Source organism: Homo sapiens, chromosome 2, assembly GCF_000001405.40.
Source record: "Homo sapiens chromosome 2, GRCh38.p14 Primary Assembly".
NCBI classification, from domain to species: Eukaryota; Metazoa; Chordata; class Mammalia; order Primates; family Hominidae; genus Homo; species Homo sapiens.
In genome coordinates this window covers 206,188,846-206,213,794 of record NC_000002.12, presented here as the reverse complement: position 1 = coordinate 206,213,794, position 24,949 = coordinate 206,188,846, and the positions used below count along the sequence as shown (strand labels likewise).

At 42.8% G+C, this 24,949-nt stretch overlaps 1 protein-coding gene and 1 long non-coding RNA gene across 9 annotated transcripts in view; one reads left to right on the top strand and one right to left on the bottom strand.

Moving 5' to 3' along the window:
- CMKLR2-AS (CMKLR2 antisense RNA) overlaps positions 1 to 10,419 on the bottom strand; it is a 62,868-nt gene extending 52,449 nt beyond the window's left edge. The window contains exon 1 of the long non-coding RNA NR_104359.1: positions 10,118 to 10,419. This is a non-coding gene — a long non-coding RNA (CMKLR2 antisense RNA). The remainder of the gene's footprint in view (positions 1 to 10,117) is intronic.
- The window catches only part of CMKLR2 (chemerin chemokine-like receptor 2), a 42,597-nt gene that overhangs the window by 4,118 nt on the left and 13,530 nt on the right, over positions 1 to 24,949 (top strand). For 2 of the 8 annotated variants that reach the window (NM_001098199.2, NM_001261452.2), the window contains one exon: positions 374 to 488. The gene's annotated coding sequence lies outside the window, so the exon portion shown is untranslated. Of the gene's footprint in view, positions 1 to 166; positions 248 to 369; positions 489 to 9,846; positions 9,902 to 24,949 lie in introns of those variants that run through there. The other 6 variants (NM_005279.4, NM_001261453.2, XM_047443968.1 and 3 more) reach the window with 5 other exon arrangements.

The window sequence follows — 24,949 nt, the reverse complement described above, 5'->3', positions numbered from 1 at the left end:
ACACACTGAATCACAGAAAGTAAAATCTCCTGATGAGCCTTATACCATGCATTCGAAGAACATTCCATCTCTGCTAATTTAACTTGCCTTTTCATAAGCAAAAGCCTACCCAGACAAAGGAGGGCTGGGTGACCCCCATCCATTACCGATTTTCAGTCTGCAGCAGAACAGCTAGTAGCAGTGGTTTCCATTCAAAAAACAAACTTCTTACACAAACATAGGCTGGTCGAAAGAATTAATTTGTACAGTATGTTCATTGCTTACTTTTCTCCAGGATTGCATGATGAATTTTTATGGAGGGGGGTGGGGGAAGGGAAGAACCACATTCAAAACCCAACATCATTCTTCTCTACACTGTCATTTCAAAAGCCAGATAAAAGTGGAATGAGGAATGCAGCCGTTCTGAACACCACCCTCCATTTCATTCTGGAACCGGGAAGGTACACCCAGGCATGACAATAGCTTCTCTCCTCACAGAAATTTAACTGGTAAGTGCTTTCCTGTTTGTTTTCCTCAAACTGACACATTTACAGTGGACCTGATGAGGATTCCTGCAGATGATTTATTTACAAAACAGCATTTGACTAACTACCAGCTGGCAAAAAAGGAAAAGGACTCCTGATCGTTTACAAAATGCTCTGTCTGCAGATTCATATTTTTGGTCTTGGCAAAAGTGTTTAGGGACGATCCTACAGGGTTCGCTACAGCTGCTGATTAATCCTAAAACACTGCAAGAGAGAAAATGAGCATGTTGCTGGGGTGGGCGGACAAAGAACTTTCAGTAATTTTCTCAGCTTTTACCTACATAATTACAGCTCATAAATCTGTCTTTTAAGGAGTTGTGATCTAGAAATAGTCAAACATCATTTGTGGAAGGCTCACTGTTGAGAAACTAGTAGAAAAAAATGGTACTCCGAGATGAAAGCTGATATTGCCCTCTTTAGATTACAAGGTGGGAAAAAAGTTATAAATTGAGTTGTAATGCAGCTCCCCGCCACTGGCTCCCCATTTTTACGATGAAAGGCTTGTGGTTTGTTGGGCCTTCCCATTTGTTTGTTGTTGTTGCCTTTTTGAATCTCGCTATCAATTTCTTGTTAGAATAATTGGTATCTGGGCTCTCCCAACAAGGGGTAGATGGCTAAATGCAGGGAAGACTGTGGGAGACAAGGGTTCAGCTATTCAATTATTCCTTTTCTAGTCAGAAACTGTGAGCACCAATTGTCTTTTATCTTTTCCTCCAAAAGAAAGCTGATGAAAACCAAATCAAGTTTGATAACAGGACTTTCACTGGCAATAATGCTCTTAAATTGCCTTTTTCACTTAAGGCAGACTCATTCACCCAAGAATCCACAAACCTGTTGTTAAATTAATCCGATGGTAATTTTGTCTTGTTAAAAAAAAAAAGGCCAAGGGACCTTTCCTGGGTCTCAAGTTATAAGTAATTATTCTTAGTGAATAATTCTCATCATATTTGTACATCTTCCAGACACTAGATTATTATGTTTTTCATGGCCTATTTTATGATTTTATCTGATTTAAGTCATTTAGTTTATAAAAGGTCATACATTTTCTGTTACTTGACTGCTAATTGTCATGTCCCTGAGATAAATATTTAATAACAGATCATGTTAACCAGAATGATAATCATGTAAAAAATAAATGAAGTAGAAAAGATTGAATATGCAAAACTGATAATAGATGTGTTACTCTGATGGTGAGATTATAGATGTGTCAGGGAGAAAAAACTTCTCCTGTTCCCTCTTAGATTTGTTATCAGGCACCAGCAAATGAAATTGACAGAAGAAAGATTAGCAAGAGAAAACAAAATTTAATTTTATGTATGTAGATATGGGCGTTCCCAAGTAAATGTGACTCAGAGGTTGCTGAGTGAGCTATGATTGTGCCACTGCATTCCAGCCTGGGCAACCAGAACCTAACCCTAGCTTAAAAAAAAAAAAAAAAAAAAGTGACTCAGATGGGTAGTTAGAATTTAGGGCTTATATGCCATCTTTTTTTCTTTTTCTTTTTTTAATGTGTGTGTTTTTTTGTTTTTTGTTTTGTTTTATATATGCCATCTTAATAGGAGAATAGGAGAAATGGAAGAGAAGGGCACTTACGGGAAAACAAGTGATTTTTGGAAACATAAATGGGTCCTTAGGAGAACAGACTGGTGATATGATAGTTTTAGTGACAGTAACTGTTCAGGCATGGTGTGGAGACTTCTCATCTCTGGTGATAAGATATGGCCAGGAGTTCGAGACCAGCCTTTAGTAGAGACTCTGTCTCTACTAAAAATACAAAAATTAGCCAGAAGTGGTGGCATGTGCCTGTAGTCCCAGCTATTTGGGAGGCTAAGACAGGAAAATTGCTTGAACCCGGGAGGCGGAGGCTGCGGTGAGCTAAGATCGTGCCACTGCACTCTAGCCTGGGAGACAGAGCAAGACTCCGTCTCAAAACACAAAACAAAACAAAAAATAACTGAATGAATTGGGTATAGTTCCTCCATGTTAAGTGCTTTACGTAACTGGATACAGTGGAGACCAATATTCAACCAAAAGTGATCGCTATAAACACATAAACTATCATCATTATGAAAGTGCTTGAGGAACACTCGTGGGTGGGTCAGGCATGGGATAAAGGCAGAGTTAATCTGAAAAAGAAAGGAAAAGAAAAGCCTTCATGGAGAATGAGTTTGAAAGGAGGTAGACAACCTGGCAGCTTGAAAAAGGTGGAGAATCCAAGCAGGAATATATATGTGCCTGCTTGAATTTTCATTAGGACCAAATTGTCCCTAGGCATGAAAAATAATAAAATACAAAGTTGAATTGACGTTAAATCATTGAACCTAGAAAAAAATAGCATATAGATATGATATCCTTAATTTTTCACAAAACTTTCTCTTTAACGGTTTATAATGATAAACCTCTAATTGAGTGGAAAAATCTGGCAATGAAACATTTTACTTAATTGTATAAGTGAGAGTTGACAGAGCTTTTTCTTTATTCAGTTGTGCCATATAAAAATGCTATTTGCAGGCCGGGCACGGTGGCTCATGCGTGTAATCCGAGCATTTTGGGAGGCTGAGGCAGACTGATCACCTGAGTTCGGGAGTTTGAGACCAGCCTGACCAACATGGAGAAACCCCGTCTCTACTAACAATACAAAAAAATTAGCCCAGTGTGGTGGCACATGCCTGTAACCCCAGCTACTTGGGAAGCTGAGGCAGGAGAATCGCTTGAACCTGGAAGGCGGAGGTTGCAGTAAGCCAAGATTGTGCCATTGCACTCCAGCCTGGGCAATAAGAGTGAAACTCTGTCTCAAAAAAAAAAAAAAGAGTAAAAATGCTATTTGCTATTCACAATAGCAAAGACCTGGAATCAACCTAACTGCCCATCAATAATAGACTGGATAAAGAAAGTGTGGCTCATATACACCATGGAATACTGTGCAGCCATGAAAAGGAATTAGATCATGTCCTTTGCAGGGACATGGATGGAGCTGGAAGCCATTATCCTCAGCAGACTAATACAGGAACAGAAAACGAAACACAGGGCCAGGCATGGTGGCTTAGGCCTGTAATCCCAGCACTTTGGGAGGCTGAGCAGGCAGATCACCTGAGCCTGGCCGACATGGTGAAACCCCGTCTCTACTAAAAATACAAAAATTAGCCAGTCATGGTGGCGCACACCTGTAGTCCCAGCTACTTGGGAGGCTGAGGCACGAGAATTGCTTGAACCTGGGAGGCAGAGGTTGCAGTGAGCCGAGATTATGCCACTGCCCTCCAGTCTGGGTGACAGAGTGAGACTCTGTCTCTGAAAAAAAAAAAAAGAAAGAAAAGAAAGAAAAGGGCCGGGCGCAGTGGCTCACGCCTGTAATCCCAGCACTTTGGGAGGCCGAGGCGGGTGGATCATGAGGTCAGGAAATCGAGACCATCCTGGCTAACACAGTGAAACTCCGTCTCTACTAAAAATACAAAAAATTAGCCGGGCATCGTGGCGGGCGCCTGTAGTCCCAGCTACTCGGGAGGCTGAGGCAGGAGAATGGCGTGAACCCGGGAGGCGGAGCTTGCAGTGAGCCGAGATCATGCCACTGCACTCCAGCCTGGGCAACACAGCAAGACTCCGTCTCAAAAAAAAAAAAAAAAAAAGAAAGAAAAGAAAACCAAACACGGCATGTTCTCACTTATAAGTAAGAACTGAATGATGAGAACACATGGACACGTGGGGGTAACAACACACTGGGGGCATGTGGGAGGGCTAGGGGAAAGAGAGCATCAGAAAGAATAGCTAACGGATGCTGGGCTTAATACCTAGGTGATGGGTTGATTCGTGCAGCAAACCACCCTGACACACATTTACCTATGTAACAAACCTGTACATCCTGCACTTGTATCCCAGAACTTAAAATAAAAGTTGAAAAAACAAACAACAACAAAAAAGTGCTTTTTTTTTTTTTGGAGACAGAGTCTTACTCTGTCACCCAGGCTGAAGTGCAGTGGCTGCGATCTCAGCTCACTGCAACCTCTACCTCCTAGGTTCAAGCGATTCTCACACTTCAGCCATTAGAGTAGCTGGGATTACAGGCGTGTACCACCATGCCTGGCTAATTTTTGTATTTTTAGTAGAAACGGAGTTTCACCATGTTGGCCAGGCTGGTCTCCGACTCCTGGCCTCAAGTTATCCAACCACGTCAGCCTCCCAAAGTGTTCAGATTACAGGTGTGAGTCACCGAGCCTGGCTGTGACCTTGACCATTTTTGATCTAACAAAATGGCAGTTTCTTATGCTTTGACATAAAAATGGATCAAAATGTAATAAAAATAGAAGGCTGGGCCTAATGGCCCACACCTGTAGTCCCAACACTTTGGGTGGCCAAGATGGGAGGATTGCTTGAGCCCAAGAGTTCGAGACCAGCCTGGGCACCGTAGTGAGTCCTTGTTTCTACCAAAAATTTAAGAATTAGCCAGGCATGGTAGTGCATGCCTGTAGTCCCAGCTACTTAGGGAGCTGAGGCAGGAGGTCCTAGTTACTTAGGAAGCTGAGGCAGGAGGATTGTTGGAGCCTGGAAGGTGGAGGCTGCAATGAGATGTGATCATGCCACTGCATTCTAGCCTGAATGACAGAGTGAGACCCTGCCTGGAAAAAAAAAAAAAGTTACATATATTTATATATGTAAATATTTGTCTCATTTTATATAAATATTTGTTTTGTGTATTTCTACACATTAAAACCATAGTAAGCATAACATTTGTTTGTTTATTTTTGAAACATGGCTCTCTCTGTTGCCCAGGCTGGAGTGCAGTAGTACTATCACAGTTCACTGTAACCTCGACCTTCTGGGCCCAAGTAATCCTCCCACTTCTGAGTAGCTAGGACTCTCAGGCATATACCACCATGCCTGGCTACTTTTTCGATTTTGTAGAGACGGAGGTCTCATTATGTTTCCCAGGCTGGTTTCAAACTCCTGGCCTCAAGCAATCCTCCCATCTCTGCCTCCCAAAAGGCAGGGATTACAGGCATGAGCCACCACACCCAGCCTAAACATAACATAGTTTTGTTGATTGAGGAAGCACTTCCTTCTTCTTTCACGAGACATTCATTGAGCACCTACTGAGCACTCTGCTCCTTGCTGAGATATAAGGATGAGTAAAAGTTATTCCTTGCCCTTGATGTTCTTAGTTTAGTAAGGGAGATGAGCACCTTAACAGATTATTACTCAGAGAGACTGTGTGTGCAGGTATTAAGAAGGAAGGCCCTGCCTGGGTGTGGTGGCTTACGTCTGTAATCCCAGCACTTTGAGGGGCCGAAGTGAGTAGATCACCTGAGGTCAGGAGTTCGAGACCAGCCTGACCAACATGGAGAAACTGTCTCTACTAAAAATACAAAATTAGCTGAGCATGGTGGCACATGCCTGTAATCTCAGCTACTTGGGATACTGAGGCAGAAGAATCGCTGGAACCCAGGAGCCAGAGGTTGCGGTGAGCCGAGAACACGCCATTGTACTCTAGCCCAGGCAACAACGGCAAAACTCCATCTCAAAAAAAAAAAAAAAAAAAAAAAAAAAAAAAGGCCCTGAGGTCAGACAGACCCAGATGTTTAGTCTGTTCTTCACCACTTTTGCTAAGTGCCAAAGCTCTCTTAGCCTTGTAGGAATAATAACAGTACCTCCCAGGATTCTTGTGAGAGTTAAATGTGACAATGCATGTGAAGTTGCTTAGCATTGTACCATACTTAACAAGTACTCAGGAAATGCTGAGTATTACTATATGTGTTAAGTGCTATTTACATAATTAGATGTGGTTGGTACTTGCTTCCTTTGAGTGGAATTAGGTCAACTGGTTTTAATTATAAGCAACAGGCCAGGCATGGTGTCTCATACCTGTAATCCCAGCACTCTGGGAGGCCAAGGCAGGTGGATCACCTAAGGTCAGGAGTTCGAGACCAGCCTGGCCAACATGGCGAAACCCTGTCTCTACTAAAAATACAAAATTAGCCAAGTGGGGTGGCACATGCTTGTTGTCCCAGCTACTCCAGAGGCTGAGGCAGGAGAATCACTTGAACCCTGTTGCAGTGAACCAAGATCATGCCACTGCACTCCAGCCTGGGCAACAGAGCAAGAGACTCTGTCTCAAAAAAAAAAAAAAAAATTATAAGCAACACATGACAGTGACAATGGTTTATAGTGAACTTGTTTGCTCCTCATACCAGTTTAGAGAAAAATCTCATCATCTTTTCCTAGAAATGGCAACTGTTGTCAGTCAGAAGTGCTGGTCCAAGGAAGTGGCTGAACAGATTGAACACACCTCTCAGGAGTGAGGCTGGCTTTTCTACGTCCTCAACATTCTTTTAATGCTTTTGATTAAAAAAAAAAAAAAAAAAGGGGCAGGGGGACTGAAACAGGAACTAATGGATTTGATGATAATCAAGAACTCAAATTCTCTTCTCCAGTTCACGTTTGTCTTCTCAGACAAAATAGTTATTTCCAAGATGCCCGGGCACGTGAATGCCTTTATCAAAACCTACTGAATAGTCTTTCCTTCAATAAATACTATTGAGCCCTACAGTTTGCCAGGCACTGTGCTAGGCTCTGGGAGTATGAAGGTAAGCAAAACCACAGGTTGGTGGCGGAGACAGACATTCTTGAAATAAGCCTCCACATATGTAGTAACAGTTGCTCTAAGTGAGGAGCTTAGAGCAGGGGCCCTGATTTAGGCTAGGGCATAGGTTTTTGGAGGCAGGGAAGAGTTCATTTAGGGAAGTAACATCTAAAAGTACCGCTTACCTTTTAGAAGAGCTCGCGATTTTCTCTTTAATTCCAAAACCACCAGCAAGTTTAGGAGATAAAAGCTTAGTCAAATAAATTTTTGGTTACTATATGGAAAATGCCATGTTGATATAAATTATTTGTTCTATCACCCAGCTGTATTGATAACATTAAACATGGCCTTTCCATTTGTTATTGTCCCCCAATGTGACTCTCATTTTATTAACTGTATTCAAAATAAAACCATCCACCTTTAGAATGATTTTATCCCTATTAACACACACATACAAATGCATACTTAATTACAGTTCTTTACATACAACAAACAAGTTGGGAAAAATTTAGATGGTAAAATGAAATGGTTTCTTTCTTGTCTGGGAGAGACTCCTTGTTCTGGAATGGTATTTCACAGATAAATATGGTGTTTCTCTATGATCTTCCTTTTGGGTTTTTGGTAGTTGAATGGGGAAGGGTGTATTTCAGCACACACTGAAAACTGCTTGTCTTGTAGGAAGGATTATAATACACCAAACAGGCCAGGCGCAGTGGCTCATGCCTGTAATCCCAGCACTTTAGGAGGCCGAGGCGGGCAGATCACCAGAGGTCAGGAGTTCGAGACCAGCCTGACCAACATGGAGAAACCCCATCTCTACTAAAAATACAAAATTAGCCGGGCATGGTGGCATATGCCTGTAATCCCAGCTAGTAGGGAGGCTGAGGCAGGAGAATCGCTTGAACCTGGGAGGTGGAGGTTGCGGGGAGCCGAGATCACGCCATTGCACTCCAGCCTGGGCAACAAGAGCGAAACTCCATCTCAAAAATAATAATAATAATAATAATAATACACCGAACACTGTGTAAAAGTGGCATTTTCACCTCACACCTAAAATCCCACCACTTTGGGAGGCCAAGGCAAGAAGATCACTTGAGCCCAGGAGTTCAAGACCAGCCTGAGCAACATAATAAGACCCTGTCTCTACCCCAAATTTAAAAAAAAAAAAAATTAGCCGGGTGTGGTGGTGAGCACCTGTAGTCCCAGCTACTGGGAAGGCTGAGGTGGGAGGACCACTTGAACCCAGGAGTTCGAGGCTGCAGTGAGCTATGATTGTGCTAGTGCACTCTAGCCTGGAGACAGACTCTGTTTCCAAAAAAGAAAGAAATAAAGTCGTATTTCGAGACTTCCTCAGAAATATGTTAGATTTCCCAAAATGCAGTAAGTTAAAAAAAAGTTTAGCTATTTTAACTTGTTATTTGAACATTTACAAGAATATGCACACATCTTTCAGCCTTAAATAAATAAAAGATTGATTTTTGAAAATAGAGACCTGTTTTCTAGGTATGGTAAGTGGAATCTGCTCAGAATCACTGGATGCTCTTTACTAATTTCCCACATTATGACCACTTCTTTTTAGTTATTTCTCAAGCAATCAGTAAATGATATATTCATCAAACTTAAGAGAGTAAACAAAATGTATCTCTTCCTAAGAAAAACAACTGATTGCTTCTTTAGCCAGTTGGATTACAGCAGGTCAGTGAGATCATAGCAAGTAGCCTGATTATGTTGTACTGATATTCATCACAAGAAATGAACTAATCTACACAAATCTTTTGCTGCAAAATAAATAAACTCCTTTGGTGGAACATTATCACAAGATCAGAATATGCCACTTTGTCAAGGATGGAATGAACACAGCGTAGCTTTACTGTAACAGCAGGAAACCATTATTTTGTGGCTCACAGCAGTCTTTCAGTTGATGTTTTCTCTCAGGATGAAACCCAGATCCAAAATGCCATCAAAAGTACCCACAAACCGGGTGCGGTGGCTCATGCCTGTAATCCCCGCTACTCAGGAGGCTGAGGGCAGAGGAATTGCTTGAACCCGGGAGGTTGAGGTTGCATTGAGCCGAGATCATGCCACTGCACTCTGGCCTGGGCGACAGAGCGAGACTCTGTCTCAAAAAAAACAAAAACAAAAACAAAAAACAAAAACGGAAAACAGTAACCACAAATGAGCTCTCTGATTAGAGCCATTGATCATTAAATTAGCTAGAAGCCCGAGAATTTGCTATGTTTCAGCAAAGTCATGTAAGTCATGTGAAATATTTCATAATACAATGTAATGAAAGAATCAAGTAAAGTCATAACAATGATATTGCACTTTTTTTTTTTTTTTTTTTTTGAGATGGAGTCTCGCTCTGTCGCCCAGGCTGGAGTGCAGTGGTGCGATCTCGGCTCACTGTAAGCTCCGCCTCCCGGGTTCACACCATTCTCCTGCCTCAGCCTCCCGAGTAGCTGGGACTACAAAGATGCCCGCCACCACGCCCGGCTAATTTTTTGTATTTTTAGTAAAGACGGGGTTTCACCATGTTAGCCAGGATGGTCTCGATCTCCTGACCTCGTGATCCGCCCGCCTCGGACTCCCAAAGTGCTGGGATTACAGGCGTGAGCCACTGCGCCCGGCCTGATATTGCACATTTATTGAGCTCTTACTATGATCCAGACACTGAGCTATGCCCTAACATATATTATCTTTTGTCATTCATACAATAAACCTAGAACAGTTTACTCATGGTTTCTTCCCCAGTTCCCTATATCATCGATGAAGGAACAGGAGCTGATTGTACCAAAACACTTATATGGTAAGCTTGATCAATGTATTTGATTTAGTATCTATGCTGGGCTGAGAAAAACATGCAAAGCAGTACCTACAAATAAGAAAACAGGAAGTAAGCTGGGCATGGTGGCACATGCCTGGAGTCCCAGCTACTTGGGAGGCTGAGGCTTCCCACGACCGCCCCTCACATTCATTAGTTCGCTAGATCAGATCGGAGAACTCGGGAAAATGGCGTACTTACAAGACTGCAGGTTTACTACAAGGGCCAGAACTCAGGAAGAGCCGGATGGAAGCGATGCACGGGACAAGGTCTGTGGGAAGGGGCGCGGAGCTTCCATGCCCTCTGGGCGCGCCACCATTTCCAGGACCTCCGTGTGTTCACCAGACCGGAAGCTCTGGTTTTTACGGAGGCTCATTACTTAGTCATGATTGATTAAACCACTGGCCATTGGAAATTAATGCAATCTCCAGCCCCCAGTCCTCCCCTGGAGGTGGAAGTTGGAAGCTGGGAAGCGGGCTGTGGACACGATTTGTAATGAATGCAAGACACCGGTGTTGGGCTGCTTTTTTTTTTTTTTTTTTTTTTTTTGAGACAGAGTCTCGCGCTTTTCGCCCAGGCTGGAGTGCAATGGCGCGATCTTGGCTCACTGCAAACCTCCACCTCCCGGATTCAAGGAGTTCTCCTGCCTCAGCCTCCCGAGTAGCTGGGATTACAGGCATGCGCCACCATGCCCGGCTAATTTTTTTTTTTTTTTTTGTAGTTTTAGAAGAGACTGGGTTTCACCATGTTGGTCAGGCTGGTCTTGAACTCCTGACCTCAAATGATCTGCCCGCCTCGGCCTCCCAAATGCTGGGATTACAGGTGTGAGCCACCGTGCCCGGCCTGGGCTCTTTCAAACGGAGCAAGGTTCAAGTTTGTGCCTACAAAGGGGGCCAAAACAGGGTTATCTAGGAGGGAGGAGGTCGATCTGGTAGCAAGAAAGAACTAGGGTGGAAGGTGAGTTTGGGAGGTGTCCGCAATAGGAAAGGAAACGCGCTGGAGTGGGTACAGTGGATGGAGGGGTGACAGGCTTTGAGGGGCTGGCAGCAGCTGAGGTCCACAGTGCCACGTGTACCGAGACACTGAGAGGAGCAGAGTTCTCCTCTTTTGTAGTAAGGTAAGCCGGCCGCCTGACCTGGATGGCTTGAAACCCAGCCCCCCGCCGCTGCCACCACCCACCTCCCCCATCCCCACCCGAATGAGGCGGGCGCCCTGGGCGAATAGCTATGACGCCATCCAGCCTTAACCAGGTTAGTGCGGAACGTGGTGGCGCGCCTGCAGCCCCAGCTACTCAAGAGGCTGAAGCAGGAGAATTGCTTGAGCCCAGGAGGTTGAAACTGCAGTGAACCATTATTGCGCCACTGCACTCCAGTCTGGGCAACTGAGCCAGACCTGTCTTTTAAAAACAAAGGGAAAAAACACACACAAAACCAAGGCTGTGATCCTATGATCTTTAGCCAATCTGACTCCACCCCGTTTCAAACAGTCTAAAGATTATTTTAAAAAATATATTTCATACCGTCTTCTCTCTATAGCCTCCATGTCACCCCATCCCTTCAAAAAACTTAGTAGAACCTAACAGAACCTTAGGGTTTCAGCGCTTACTGAATTTTAGACATCAACAAGTCCAATCACGTGTAATGTCTGATTTCCTGCTTAAAACCCCTCACTTTAAGGTTGCATCATTAAACATCTCCAAGTATGAGAAATGTACCACCCTCTGACATAGCTTTACAGTAGAATGAAATCTCCATAAGTTCTGTGTCCTACTCTCTCTCCAGGGCCTAGAATACATAGTAGGTGCTGAATAAATAATTCATTTAATTTAGTTTTTAAATGTTTAACAACTATAATCTTTAGGAAATTCTGCCTTACATTGAGCTAACATTAGCGCCCCTCAATTTTTTGAAGCCAGTTTGAATAGTTCCCTCTTCCAAATGCCAGCCCTTGGGCATTTGAAAAAATTGTTACCCTGCTCTTTCTTTTCCAGGATAAATAGCTTCCACCAGTTTGCTCAATGCTCCTCACATGATATAGTTTCTCTCCATCCGGTTCCCTCTCCTCTGGACATATTTCAGTTTATCATTGTTTCTCTTAAACTGTAATTCCCAGAAAAGAACACAGTACCCCTAGGTGCTGTCTGATCAGTTCAAGTAGAATTGGATAAACACTCCCCCAATTCTATTAAGACAGCCCAAGGGCAAAGTTACTTTTTTTTTTTTTTAGCTGTCTCATCCCGTTGTTGACTCACATGGAGCTCAAGGTCAAGGAGAAAGGTTGTGTTTGGGCAGAAATTTAGGTTGTTTAAATCACAGACCAGGTCTTCACAGGGCACTAATTGTGATGCCCTTGGTGAATGGTTCAAAGGAAATGTATATGAAAAGTGGTTGTGTGGGACCCCGCTGGGGTACACTACATTTACTTCCTTTTCATGGTGAAAAGGCACTAAATAAGCCATTAGTCAATATTACGTATCTCTTTAATGTAGAATTATGAAATCCATTTTAAGGAAATAATTCAGGGCCTGCAATTTCTGCCTAGACACATTATCTGCTAGGAAAACCTGTTGGAGAAGATTATTTGCTTTGCATGGCAACTGGCATAAAGTTCAGGGCAGGTGTTGCTTAACAAGTGAATGCTGACCAGGCAGGGTGGCTCACACCTATAATCCCAGCACTCTGGGAGGATTACTTGAGGTCAGAAGTTTGAGATCAGACTGGCCAACATGGTAAAACCCCATCGCTGCAAAAAATACAAAAATTAGCCAGGAGTGGTGGTGGGTGCCTGTAATCTCAGTTACTCAGGAGGCTACAGTGGGAAGATCCCTTGAGTCCAGGAGTTTGAAGTTGCAGTTAGCTATGATTGTGCCCCTACACTCCAACATGGGAGAAAGAGTGAGACCCTACCGCTAAAAAATAACAGTAAAAATAAAACGCAAGGAAGAAAGAAAAGGAAAAAACATGCTTTGTCTGATTTTGCCTTGTTAGAGAAAATCTGTGATGAGAACAAAAGATACAGAAATTATTCTAAAAGTAGAATTTTTAAAACAAAATTTTCTTGTATCAGATGGTTTTTTACTGTGTTCCTTCCAAGTTCCTTGTCAGAAATAAACTGCCTATTAGGTACGATGGCACATGCCTGTAATCCCAGCTACTCCAGAGGCTGAAAGGGAGGATCTCTTGGGGCCAGGAGTGCTAGTGCAGCCTGGGCAACATAGCAAGATCCCATCTCTATAAAAATAAATAAAAAGGAAAAGTGCTTGTGTTATGTTTCAGTGAAGGTATATTGTATTACTGGTATAAGTGTCAAGACATTTTGTGACTGTTTTCTTGAATTTGAATACCTGGAGATGTACTTGGCTTTTGAATTGTCTAAAGTATTGAGACCATAGACAGTGCAGATATGTGCCTATATCCATCCTTTGTATGACCCACCATTCTTTTTCTTTCTTTGGTGAGACGGAGATTTACTCTTGTTGCCCAGGCTGGAGTGCAATGGCGCCATCTCGGCTCACCGCATCCTCCGCCTCCCAGGTTCAAGTGATTCTCCTGTCTCAGCCTCCCGAGCAGCTGGGATTACAGGCATGTGTCACCAGGCCCAGCTAATTTTGTATTTTTAGTAGAGATGGGGTTTCACTGTGTTGCCCAGGCTGATCTCGAACTTCTGACCTCAGGTGATCCGCCCGCCTCAGCCTCCCAAAGTGCTGGGATTACAGGCATGAGCCACTGCGTCCGGCCGACCCACCATTCTTAATGGCCTTTAGAAGGTCACTTTCATTTCCCTCAAGTACAAGACCTTTGTTTCTGGGACAGGGTGATTAATATCAACTATGAAAGAAAGATTAAGTAAATTAAAATGACTTACTATACAGCTATTGGTATATACTCTTCATGTCCAGAAGCAATTTACAATATGTCAAGAAGTGTCTCTACAGTGGTTCTTGCCCTCTCATTTCTACCACTGGTTAGAGAATAGGTATGTGGAAAAGATGTCATAGGGCCGGGCACGGTGTCTCACGCCTGTAATCCCAGCACTTTGGGAGGGCGAGGCAGGTGGATCACCTGAGACCAGCCTGGCCAACATGACAAAACCCCATCTCTACTAAAAATACAAAAATTAGCCAGGTGTGGTGGTGGGTGCCTGTAATCCTGGCTACTTGGGAGGGTGAGGCAGGAGAATTGCTTGAACCCAGGAGGCAGAGGTTGCAGTGAGCTGAGATTGAGCCACTGCACTCCAGCCTGGGAGACAGAGCAAGAGGCTCCATTTCGGGGGAAAAAAAAAAAAATGCCGTAATACAAAATAGGCTAAGAATAAAGAAAAGAGTGCTTAAAATATGTTTTCTATTTGAAGGTCATGTATTTTACCATTGAACCAGGATCTTTTCCCTTCCCTCCTTTGCCTCTTTCCCTCCCGGCATTCTTTCTTGCGCATGTGCTCGCACTCATGCTCACTCTCTCTGTCTTCTTTCTCTCTCTTTAAATGAGACAGTCTCACTCTGTTGCCCAGGCTGGAGTGCAGTAGTGCGATCTTGGCTCACTGCAACCTCCACCTCCGAGGCTCAAGCAATTCTCTTGCCTCAGCCTCCGAGTAGCTGGGATTATAGTAGGCATGTGCCACCACGCCCAGCTAATTTTTTGTATTTTTAGTGGAGATGGGGTTTCACCATGTTGGCCAGGCTGGTCTCGAACTCCTGGTCTCAAGTAATCTGCCCACCTGGGCCTCCCAAAGTGCTGGGATTACAGGTGTGAGCCATTGCACCCAGCCTCCCTCTCTCTCAAGGAAAAAAGAGGAGAAAAGAAAAGGGGGTTTGGGCTATATGCACAAATGCTCTCTCTCTCCCTACATTCTAGTTATGTGAACTTAAATATGAAGAACTAGTTGGGAAGTGGAAATTCTATTTCTTCTAAAATTCTACAGCTGTTCTGGGCACTGCTGATGTTTATAACCTTCCCTCACAGATGTTACATTTTATGAACTGTGACTCATTAGGGTGGTTCTAGCATCTTTAGATGGACAGAAATCCCCAAAGGCAGGATGATTACATAAGTCTGCTTCACTCAAAACCTGAAATATTTGAATAGAATATTTCCTGGGGGGAAAAGAAAGCAGTAAGACTTTGCCATACTTTCACGAATCAGAAACACTAATAATTTTTCTTTTCTGTGGGAGGAATGAGGGAGGTACAATATTCTTGTTTGGGAAGGTTTTGTTTTCATTTGCAGAATGTTTTTAATTTGTATAGGCTTTTTGGTTTGGACCTTGATCTATATTTTTGTTCCAATGTGCAAAAAACCATTTACTGGAAGACATTGTTTGAATGTCCACTCTGTGCAAGGGACCGGATTTGGTGCTAGTTTGAGGCATGGAGAGTAATAAAAGAGCTAGAATATACGGTGCTGCCATCTTTGAGCTTCTCAGTTAGGAAACACCAGGGGCAGAATCATAAAAGTTTAGAATTAGATGTCACCTGTATTTTCCACATGAGACACCTGGGGTCCCAATTGGGCCACTGACCCACCCAAAGTTACATAGTTAGTGATATTCAGAGCTACATTTTAGAACCATCTCTCCTAAGTTCCAGTGCTTTTTCAGCACACAGGACTGCCAAATATCCACGGACTTAAACAGGATCAAGTGTTACGGCAGGTCAGAACTAGGATAAGGCAATTGAGGCAAAATTTAACAGGGCACCAAAAGCCTCAGTAATTAAAATTAATGGAAAATAATCCATGATTAACAAAATATCAAATTTTTAAACAAAGACAAGGTCCTACGCTGCTCTTCCATAACCCAGCTTCGCCTGTCTCACCCTAACGTCAACCCTCCATCATACAATCTGAACTTTTGGGTGGATCAAGGGGGAAAACCAACATGGAAAATATTCCACTGGCTGGAATCCCTAGATGTGTAGAGTGAGCTGTCCAGGTGTTCGAAGATGGATCACAAACCTTTGTGCACAACAGTGTATTGAGAGAAAATGGCTGTCATTTGTTTTAATTAAAAAGTGATGGCAGTTTTGAGGGTAAAACTACAAAAAGAAAGTGAGACTGGGTTGAGCATGGTGGCTCACACCTGTAATCCCAGCACTTTGGGAGGCCGAGGTGGAAGGATTGCTTGAGCTCAAGAGTTCTAGACCAGCCTGGGCAACATAGCAAGACACCATCTCTACAAAAAAAATTTTATAATTACAATGAAATTTTTTAAATGAAGCTGAAGAGTAAAGGGGAAACTCAAGATGTGATAGTGGGTCATAACCTCTACAGGGCACTGCTCCCATAATGAACCCCATTCCATTCAAGAGCACTGCTAGGCAGAGCACAAAATGGAATCCCCAGAACCCTACAAAGGGGTTTAGTTGGAGGGCTTTGATTACAGCAAGATACTGGGTTAAAATTTTTCTTTCCCTGTTTAATTTTCTTCTCTCTCATCCATGTCCTGTGCCTGAAGTGTTAACCAGCACCTGGATTTGCACCATTTGAAAGTACCCTTGCCCTTAGAAAACCCAGAAGAAAAAAACCTAGAAGCAATCACACTGGGTCCCAGAAGAAAGGACAGGCCCTTGGACAAATGCAGTCCTACAGGTTCACATAGGAGTCCTATAGGTCACCAAGAGAGACTGAAAGGGCATGTGGGACTTAACCAGCTCTGGAGCAGTAAAGAATATGCATTTGGGCCGGGCGCAGTGGCTCACGCCTGTAATCCCAGCACTTTGGGAGGCCGACGCAGGCAGATCACGAGGTCAAGAGATTGAGACCAGCCTGGCCAATATGGTGAAACCCCGTCTCTACTAAAAATACAAAAATTAGCTGGGCGTGGTGGTGCGCACCTGTAGTCCCAGCTACTCGGAAGGCTGAGGCAGTAGAAATCACTTGAACCCAGGAGGTGGAGGTTGCAGTGCGCCGAGATCACGCCACTGCACTCCAGCCAAGGCAACAGAGCAAGACTTGGTCTAAAAAACAAACAAAAAAAGAATATGCTTTTCCTGAGTGTCCTCTCTTCATTTATTCCTCAGAATCCAGCTGCCAGAGGCTGGATGAGAGTTGGTTTACATCTGGCAATTTGGTTCTTGTAAAGTCATCCTGCAGTGACTTTAACAACAGAGTCAGAACCAGCCCGAGGAACAGAGCAGACTCTGGGCAAATGTGGACTTCTGACGTAGTACTAAAATAAAGCTATGATAAAAGCTCAAAATTAAAAACTGTTCTTACAAACTGGCTGCTCCACTGGGCCTGGAGGTGGAGGTGAGAAGAGGGGAGTGGTGAGGAAGAGTCTGAGAAAGAATCAAAGTCGCTTTCTTTTCCATGCATCGTTCTGGGCTTCCTCCTATCAAGTCATCCTCCTCTGCAGGGAAGAATGGTTTATTTTGTGTTTTGTTTTGTTTTTTCATTCAGCCACAGGTGCAGCTCTAGAAAAGGAATGTAGATTTATTCTCTAAATTCAGCATCGCTCTCTCCTGGTTTAAACACTATTTATTTATTTATTTATTTTTATTTTTATTTATTTTTTTGAGACAGAGTCTCACTGTCGCCTAGGCTGGAATGCAGTGGTATGATCTTGGCTCACTGCAACCTGTGCCTCCAGGGTTCCAGCGATTCTCCTGCCTCGACCTCCAAGTAGCTCGGATTACAGGCGTGTGCCACCACGCTCAGCTAATTTTTGTATTTTTAGTAGAGATAGGGTTTCACTGCGTTTGCCAGGCTGGTCTCAAACTCCTGAACTCAAGTGATCTGCCCACCTCAGCCTCCCAAAGTGCTGGGATTACAGGCATGAGCCACCACGCCTGGCCTGGTTTAAGCACTTTTGAAGAAGGATTCTTGTGCCCCAAATGCCTGGTGGTTAAGAACATAGGCATTTACCAATTTAGATAAGAATGCTAATCATGCCACTGAATAGTTTTTGGGGTTTTGTTTGTTTGTTTGTTTTTGAGATGGAGTTTCACTCCTGTTCCCCAGGCTGTATTGCAATGGTGTGATCTCGGCTCACTGCAACCTCCGCCTCCCAGGTTCAAGGGATTCTTCTGCCTCAGCCTCCCGAGTAGCTGGGATTACAGGCATGCGCCACTGCTCCCAGCTAATTTTGTATTTTTAGTAGAGATGGAGTTTCCCTATGTTGGTCAGGCTGGTCTCGAACTCCCAACCTCAGGTGATCTGCCTGCCTCGGCCTCCCAAAGTGCTGGGATTACAGGCGTGAGCCACTGCGCCTGGCCTCTGAAGAGTTTTTATAAATTCTTTAATTTTCTTGATTTTCAGCTTCCTAATCTGTAAATAGAGAATAAGAGCTCAAAAACGATATCCATTATCATAGAGTCTTGCCCTTGAAGGATGATGTGAAAAGTCCACTTAGTGCATGAGTCAGTGCCTTCTGGAGTATCCCCAGCCAGCAGCATCCAGGCTGTGATCAAACTCCCTTAGTGCCCACCCAATGCAATGCATTCTGCTTGCTTGCTTGCTTTCTTGGTAGACTTTTAACTTTCTGGATATTAAACAGATGCAACGTCTTGCTTCTAAGTCAAAATTTTCTTGACTATTATGCCAACATTTTCTGCCCTAGCATCTTCAAGTATCTGAAGATAGTCATGAAACTCCTTAAGTCCTCCTTTCTCACTGGTTCCTTAAGCATTCCAACAAAGACTAATTTCAAGTCCCCTCCATCACCCTGCAGAGTTCTTTCTTTTGCACTGCTTTTGTTTTCCAGTGGTCTCTCCAATGTCCATTTTGCAGAACTCAACAAACTGTTCCAAATATAGATTGGCCATGAGAAAATAGTGTTGCAGTTGCTACCTTTGTTTTCATTACCATAAAATAATTTAAAATGTCTATGATGCGTCGGGCATGGTGGCTCATGCCTGTAATCCCAGCACTTTGGGAGGCTGAGGCGGGCAGATCACGAGGTCAGGAGATCGAGACCATCTTGGCTAACACAGTGAAACTCCGTGTCTACTAAAAATACAAAAAAAAATTAGCCAGGCTTTGTGGCTGGTGCCTGTAGTCCCAGCTACTTGGGAGCCTGAGGCAGGAGAACGGCGTGAACCTGGGAGGCAGAGCTTGCAGTGAGCCGAGATTGTGCCACTGCACTTCAGCCTGGGCGATAGAGCGAGACTCCGTCTCAAAAAAAAAAAAAAAAAAAAAAAAAAAGTCTATGATGGCCCAGTGTGGTGGCTCATGCCTGTAATCCCAACACTTTGGGAGCCTGAGGCGGACAGATCACTTGAGGCCAGGGGTTCAAGATCAGCCTGGCCGACATGGTGAAACCCTGTCTCTACTAAAAATACAAAAATTAGCCGGGCGTGGCTACTTGGGAGACTGAGGCATGAGAACTGCTTGGACCTGGGAGGTAGAGGTTGCAGTGAGCCATATTACGCCACTGCACTCCAGCCTGGGTGACAGAGCGATATTCTGTCACCAAAAAAAAAAAAAAAAAGCCCATAACGAATGTCTTAAACCATTAAATCATCATAATAATGAATCTGGCACCCACATTGTTTAGTTGTGGTCAACGAGCAAGTCTTTTAACCTGTGCTTTATCTTTTATGTCTACATCTTATCCTATACTCCTTTGTATCTCCTCCTAGGAGAAAAAAAGGCACAAATATTTTCAAGCATAATCTGTACGAATGAAAGGAAGTTCTAGAATTGTCCTCCTCCCCCTCCTTTTGCTGCTGTGTTGAAACAGCATTACTGTTGCTACAAAAACAAGTTTCCCTTCCCTCCCCTTCATTGAGTTCATGTATTACCTCTCCGGATAATGAACAGTATTGTTTTGTGAAGTGGCTGCAATCTCAATATATTCTGCAAGGTCCCTGATTACTGTTCCCTCCCCTTTAGGAGAAAGCCTTCTCTTTCTTTAAGAGAGGAAGTATCTTGATGTAAATTAAAATAAGAATACATTGACCACCAATTCAGTTTCCACCCTAAACTGGATATTCTCCCTGGACTTCTATCAATGTCACTGACAATGAGTGATTGAGAACCAAAACATCTTCAGTGCCAAATAATGATGAAATAGAAAGCAGAGATACAGGAGTACAAATTTCCACCATGTTCCCCAGTGGAAATTTTGGAAGGCTATCTTGGCCTGCAGAGAATTCAGGTCATGATTAAATATTCTAGTCTCAGACATAGTCATTTTTAGCCTTTAAAAAATATTTAAACCATGGGTAATATCTATTTATGAGAAGTTTTATAATCTGGTAGGTACCCTGCTATGATGCTTGCTTCCAAAATCAGTCCTTTGTTACGTTACGATACATAACATTGCCCAGAAGACACTAAAGAGGATGCAAGCTTTAGTTCTGACTCTTTATATGGATGAACATATCTGCAACATAAACTAAACATTTCAGATCTCTAACAGTTGTCCAGTCACATGCCCTACAAATGTAAAGTTACAGAAGTCCTGTGCCATCAAGGTTTCCAAATTCAGTGCCCATATTCTTCCTGATAAAAAGTTACTTGTATACACAGAAATCTCTTTTTAAGAAAACACAGCTGGGGCCAGGTGTGATGTAATCCCAGCACCTTGAAAAGCTGAGCCAGGTGGATCACCTGAGGTCAGGATTTCAAGGCCAGCCTGGCCAACATGGTGAAACCCCGTCTCTATGAAAAATACAAAAGCTAACTGGGCATGGTGGCGGATACCTGTAATCCTAGCTACTCAGGAGGCTGAGGCAAGAGAATCACTTGAACCCAGGAGGTGGAGGTTGCAGTGGGCCAAGATCGTGCCATTGCATTCCAGCCTGGGTGACAGAGCAAGACTTGGTTTCAAAAAAAAAGAAAACACAGTTGGCCCTCCATATCTGAGTTTCACAGACGAAAAATATTCAGAAGAAAAAAAATCAATGGCTGTATTTGTACTAAACATGCCCAGGCTTTTTTTCTTATTGTTATCCCCTAAACAATACAACAACTATTTTTATAGCATTTACATTGTATTAGATGTTATAACTACTCTAAAGAGGATTTAAAGTATATGGAATGATGTGCATAGGTTATATGCAAATACTATACTATTTTATATCAGGGACTTGAGCATCCTTGGATTTTGGTATGTGTGGGAGGTCCTGAAACCAATGTCCTGTGGATACTGAAGGATAACTGTACTAATTTGGAGATTTCTCTCTACTATGATCAAGATTTTCAAACATTACATTGCTGATTACATTACATCGTTACATTGTGATTCTTTCCAAGACTTGAGATAAAGTTTGGGAAGAAGTTACCACTTGTTTCAGTTTATGAAATAGAAAAAAAAAAAAGTGGTAGAGCATGAGATAAAGACCTAGACTGTATCCTTATAGCAAAGGTAAACAAGGAGTTTTTGTTTTGCTTTGTTGTGTTTTGTTGTTGTTGTTTAAGAGACAGGGTTCTCACTATGGTCTTGAAGCCCTGACCTCAAGCAATCCTCCCACCTCAGCCTCCCAAAATGCTAGGATTTCAAACATGAGCCACCATGTCCAACCAAATAAACAGAAAAATAAAAATAAAAATAAAAAATAATAAAATATAATTGAATCAAAATTCAAATAAAATTTATTTTATAAAATAAAATAATAAAATAAAAAATAAAAAAAAAATAAATAAATTTTTTTTTTTAAAGAGAACGCCAGTCCCGGTAGCTCATTTTTGCAATCCTAGTACACTGGGAGGTTGAGGTGGGCAGATCACTTGAAATCAGGAGTTCGAGACCAGCCTGGGCAACATGGTAAAACCCCATCTCTACTAAAAAATACAAAAAGTAGGCCTGGCGCAGTGGCTCATGCCTGTAATCCCAGCACTTTGGGAGGCCGAGGTGGGAAAATCACGAGGTCAGAAGTTCAAGACCAGCCTGGCCAACATAGTGAAACTCCATCTCTACTAAAAAAAATACAAAAAATTAGCCAGGTGTGGTGGTGTGCGCCTGTAATCCCAGCTACTCAGGAGGCTGAGGCAGGAGAATAGTGTGAACCCGGGAGGCAGAGGTTGCAGTGAACCGAGATCGCGCCATTGCACTCCAGCCTGGGTGACAGAGCGAGACTCTGTATCAAAAAAAAAAAAAAAAAAAAATTAGTTGGGCATGGTGGCACATGCCTCTGTGGTCCCAGCTGCTGCGGGTGGCTGAGGTAGAGGATTGCTTGAGCCCTGGGAGGTCAAGGCTGCAGTGAGCCAACATCACACCACTACACTACAGCCTAGGTGACACAGCCAGACCCTGTCTAAAAAAAAAAAAAAAAAGAAAGAGAAGTAAGAGAAATATAGTACTATACAGTATAATATTTTCTCACCACTCTTAACCAGATATGGTGATAAACATGGCATTTTGGGGCTAGACACAGGGGTCCCCAACTCAGATGCCTTCAGAAGGCAGACATATAATAATGTGTGAACTCCATGCAGATTCAGTATTTTTTTTAACAAAGTCCACAAAACAAAACATGTTTTTGAATCTCTACTTAAAATCTTCTCACCCTTCTCATGAAGTAACTCAAAGAAGTCCCACTCTCTCTCTCTGCCTTCCCCTTTATTCTCTACTGCTTTTAAAAGTCCTAAGCTAAAACTTGTAGGTAATGATCAATACCTACAATTATCGAGCATGCTTTGTGTGCCAGGCACTGAGCTAACCACTTTTTAAGGATTTCCCCATGTGAACATTACAGCAACCCCATGAGTTAGGTGCTATTACTATTCCCATTTTAACAAGTAAGGAAACAGATTTCTTGGTAGCAGGTAATTTGTCCATGATCCCACAGCCAGAAACAGGAAGGACTGGGATTTGAGAGCAGGCAGTCTAATTCTACAACCCATAGACCACGATATTGCCTGATATTTACATTATACATCTGTGTTAATTATCTTAAAGTCTTGCAAAGGAATTAAGCCTAAAAGTTTCTTCCTAACCTAAGGATAATCATTCACCCCCAGCAATCAACAGAGCCATACAGATTATACAAGTTAGAACACTAATTTCTGGGTGGAGCATTAAAACAACAGGTACATAAGTAGGCGTTGACTTCCGGTACATGTGCTGTGTTCTCTTTTCAAACTGTCAAAGTGAAGCATGGGGGCTGACATGCAGATCAGGCTGCAAATGCCTTTTATGACAAGAATTCGATCTCAGCATCGTGAAAATAGGTATCATTAATTTCCATTTGATTCAATTATTCTTTGAAAAGGAAAAACTTTCTTTCTTTCTCCCAATCTCGCTGCCTTTAAAACTGATAAAAACATTTGTATCCCTAAAATTAGTTCGCTTTTCTGTTCAAGGTTTTCAATGCCAACTCAAGAAAAACGTTATTGTGAAGATTATATGCAATTCAGCTAAGCTTCCTGAAAGATTCTATTCATTTCTCAAATCAATGTCTTTCAAATACATCTCCCTCATCTCAATTCTCTCACTGTCTAAGGACCTTCCATCTTCGACTTCCATTGTGGTAACAGGCTCCTGAATGATTGTCTTACTTCCATTCAAATTCTTTTCCAAACCATCTTGCAAACTGCTACCAGATGATCTTTACAAAAACAAATATTCTGTCACATCACTCCTTGCTACAAACATTTTTACATGCTTTGGGAGCAATGGAATAAAATCCAAACCCTTAAGCATGACATTCAAAGGCCTTTGTCATCAGAACACTCCCATTTATGTTGTCCCTTCTCGAGCCAAATCAGAATACTTTCATTCTTCCTAATACACCAAAGAATATTGTCATTTGTCTTAATGCCTGGCATTAAGTAATAAATGACATGGGAACTACAGCTAGGCAAGCTGCATCTCTATTACAGGATAAGCTATGCCAGGGGTTGGAGTGTGAGGGTTGTTCTACCACCTCCCAACTGGCAGCAGCAACAATATCACCACCCAACCTTCAATTTCCATCTAACCTCCCTTTGCTTCCCTTGGGTGAATAAACAGGGTCTCTTTTTAACGTGTTGCTGTGCCTCAACGCCTTCCAAGCAGAGATCGTTCATCTGAATGGCAACAAAATACTCTACTGATGCCAAACATCTTGAGTACATTCTGGGGTGTAGTATAGTTTATGTTTGACAGTGGAAAATACTGAGCAATGTCCCAAATACCACCCCCTGGGGCAACACACACATATACATGTTTCAAAAAATCTTTCTTCCCTAAGAAGACAGCCCTTGAAAAACAGCTTGCTGACCATATGTTTGCTAGGTCATGGATCTGTGGTTTTTACTGGAGAATTTCTCTCTTGTGTCCATCAATTCTTTCTATTCATTCTTTTCTTTTCTTTTTTTTTTTTCTTTTTAGATGAAGTCTCACTCTATTGCCCAGGCTGGAGTGCAGTGGCACCATCTTTGCTCATTGCAACCTCCACCTCCTGAGTTCAAGCAATTCTCCTCCCTCAGCCTCCTGAGTAGCTGGGACTACAGGCACGCACAACCACACCCACCTAATTTTTCTATTTTTAGTAGAGATGGGGTTTCACCATGTTGGCCAGGCTGGTCTTGAACTCCTGACCTCAAGTGATCTGCCTGCCTCAGCCTCTCAAAGTGCTGGGATTATAGGCGTGAGCCACCGCTCCCTGCCTTTTCTATTCCTCCCTGTTATCCGGTCAGAAGCAAAATACATGTTCCCCCAAGGGCCCCTGTGGTGTTAACAGGAGACACATTCAGAGCTTGAGTTCTTTTTACCAGAGTGTGTGAGGAACTCTACACAGGCAACCTACGTAGACAGAGTTCACAATATCAAGTCCTTCTCTCTGTTCAAATCAGCTTAGAGCCTAAACTGCCTTAAGATTCTGTGAGGTGTACATTTTTGCAGTGATCCATGAAAAACCTATCTAACTCAACAATACAGAACAAAATTAAACCTCTCTTCATTCGCCAAATGTTCTGCCAGAAGGAATCTTTGTGTTTTGTCCAGGTAGATGAACAAAATGTTTCCCTCTATAGCCAAACCTCATCTAAAGCCACATTTTAAAGTTTAATGTTACACAGTTCTACCAGGTGTCCTTCCCCAAAATCATCTGGATTTTATAGACTGTTTATTATTACACTTTCTGCCAGAACTCTTGCAGTAAAATTTATTTATTCA